This window comes from Homo sapiens, chromosome 3 (assembly GCF_000001405.40).
Source record: "Homo sapiens chromosome 3, GRCh38.p14 Primary Assembly".
NCBI classification, from domain to species: Eukaryota; Metazoa; Chordata; class Mammalia; order Primates; family Hominidae; genus Homo; species Homo sapiens.
The window spans coordinates 450,289-453,165 of NC_000003.12; the positions used below are offsets into that span (position 1 = coordinate 450,289).

A 2,877-nucleotide genomic window follows, 5' to 3' on the forward strand; every position below is an offset into this window, starting at 1 on the left:
GCTCTGGCGATGGCATGGCAGCCTGAAATTCTTTGACCTGCCTCAGGAAGCCATTTCTGTTTCCTGAACAGCCTAAAGTGATCTATGCTTATATCACAATCTTGGGCACATCCAAACACTCTCATGTGTGCATACATATTCAACCTTATTATTATTGTTGTTACGTTATTGTTATCAGAATTGTAATAAACACTTACATAGTGCTTCCTATGTGTGAGACAGTCTCCTAAGCTATTAAGTCATTTAATCTTCATCACAACCCTGTGAAGTAAATTCTAGTATAATCATTTCCTTGTTGCAGAGGAGGAAAACCGACACCTGAAGGGATTAAGGTGGGATGCACAACTTGCACTGGCAATCCAGTTCCAGAGCCCATACTCTCGTTCCCTACACACACTTTCTTTCTATACCTGCATGCACATGCTCACACGTGCAGACACACATGCATCTGCCTGCTCGTCCATATAAAAATCTAAACGTAGCTCTAGCACTCTAGACCCTCACTTCATGCATTGAACCAGCATATGGGACGTGGCTCAAATAAGCATATTATAAAATCTTCCACATGATTTAGATTAATGATTCTATTTAGAAACCATTGCTTTAATCCATGTCTTCTGTGGTTCTTGTCTAATTGTGAGGCAGAATTGGGAAAGGCTTCACAGAGGGGAGAGTATTTTCTAAATCCATCTTCTCTCTTTTTACCTCTTTTAGCCAGGAGCCAGCATGATGTAGAACTACATTTAATACCAAAGGGTCTTTCCAGATTCCCATAGCTCTCCTCATTATGGTCTTTTATTATGGAAAACATTCTCTCACATCTCGCATTCTTGCCTCATCTATCTACTCCAAGTGAGTTTGGTAGTTAGAGACTGGAAATTTTTCCTCTTTAAATACTATACATTTTTAAAATCTGTATTAATTTAGGATTGATTAAATGGGTTAATTCCAGACTTTCCAAGGCTAACACCGTATCATGTGGTATCTTGAAAGCCTGGAGGTTTTGAGATATCTGCTATTTTTATAACCTAAAGAGTGAAGAAGTGGCTCAGGAGAAGAAAATTAATCTCAGTGTTTTCATGGGATAGGGATCGTTCTGGGAGTATAGGGAGAACCATGAGAGGAAATGTAGGAAAAGTATGTACTCTACATATTTAGGGAGATTCCTAGTGCATGACATTTGGGACATAAAACCTTTTATATTTTTTGTGAGACAAACAGACTTGATTCAGGCTTCTCTATGCTATTTATGAGCCCCAAGAAGGCTTAGCTACAAGGTAGGGGACTTGTGACTTGGAGTTTGTTATAATGATAGGAAATCTTATGTTAACAAAACAATATCAAAGTAAACCATTTCAATGAAGTTGTTAACTAAATTCTCTTACTTTCCTCTCCAATCTGGCATAGTTTTCACAACTCCAAAACTGAGATAACAATAGTGCCACCTTCCTCAGTTGTTAGACGGAATAAATGAGTAGTACCAGCCCACAAAATGCTGAATAAGTGTCAGCTTTTAGTAATAGAATTCTAATTGGTATTGAATAATATAATTTCTGATATAAGGGATCATTCAAAAGAATTGAGTTTTAAATTTTCTACTATATACAGCTAGCTTAAGAGTTTAATATAACACTTTGACATCCATTTTTTTCTTTCCAAAACTAGCAATTACATCCAGTTTCCAACATAGCATAATGAAATGTTTAGATACAATTGTAATGTTTTATATTTGAGAAATCAAAGCTAGAGACTGGTTCAAGGAGACATAGCTACCAAAGGCAGAGTCAGGGCTCCAACGCAGGTCTTCTGATGAATAGTGAGAAAATAAGACAAACTATGATAAGTCTTAAAATATGGCATAAGTTCTATTGTGGTTCAGATGAAGAAAGGGGAACATCTTAATGGGAACTGATGGATAGAGGGTGCCTGTTTGAAATTCTGTTCAATTGCTTACGTTTTGCCTGGATGTTTCTGTAGATTCCACTGAATTAGTCAGCCTTACTGATTTGAGGTTCTGACCATGAAAGTTGGCTTCAGAGTCATTTCATCCTAATCCAGTTAGAATCAGCTTCACCCTTTTCACTTACATGATAAATCAGGCTCAAGCCTTGCACTCTGCTTGAGAGGAGGTTGGAAATGAGTTCCCAATTTAGAATAAGACCATCTGCACCATATGTGGGCCATCCAACTGGGACTGGCTCTGCCCTGGCTACCAAACTAATTATGGATATATTTCAGGGTGTAAGTTACTAGGCTTAAAATCCTTAATTGGCAAAGTTTTATTTTGTTAAAATCCCTTTGCTTTCGCTTTGGAAAAAAAGCTCAGTAATCAAGATAAAATATGTAATGGACTATTAATTCAAATCAAATTTAATTTTAAAAAATCCATGATGAATATAACATTAAAATTTTAAATGAAGACAAGATTGAATACTTCAGAGCCCTTCCTCTGTATCCTCATCCTAATCTGGCCCTCTTTCCAATAAAAGTTTTTAAAAGTAGGCAGCCAGCGTACAGGCCATAGTTTACCCATTTGATCTAAATTTAATTTAAATCTAAATATATATGTATATATTTAAATCTAAATATATATGTATATACTTAAATCTAAATACATACATATATATATAGCATGAAATTATCTTGATTATGGAGTTTGGGGGTGACTATTTAAATATTGCTTCTAAGGCAAGTGCCTTTCTAACCCCACCTTGGTCCCAAATTAGGTTCCCAGTAGCTTTACAGTTGAGATGCTTAGTTAACCCACTGTCTATCACACTTAACTTGCTTATATACCAACACATTTTTGCATAATATCTCAACACCTGTGTTCCAGAAAAGTCCTGGTGTGGAAAATCCCAGAGAATAAAGATTAAT

At 36.1% G+C, this 2,877-nt stretch overlaps 1 annotated feature.

Moving 5' to 3' along the window:
• Positions 535-1,063: an enhancer, noted in NCBI's record as "NANOG hESC enhancer chr3:492506-493034 (GRCh37/hg19 assembly coordinates)". NCBI's record gives its function as "activates a minimal SCP1, AML or CMV promoter by ChIP-STARR-seq in primed H9 embryonic stem cells {active_cell/tissue: H9 hESC(primed)}" and the evidence as "EXISTENCE:reporter gene assay evidence [ECO:0000049][PMID:30033119]".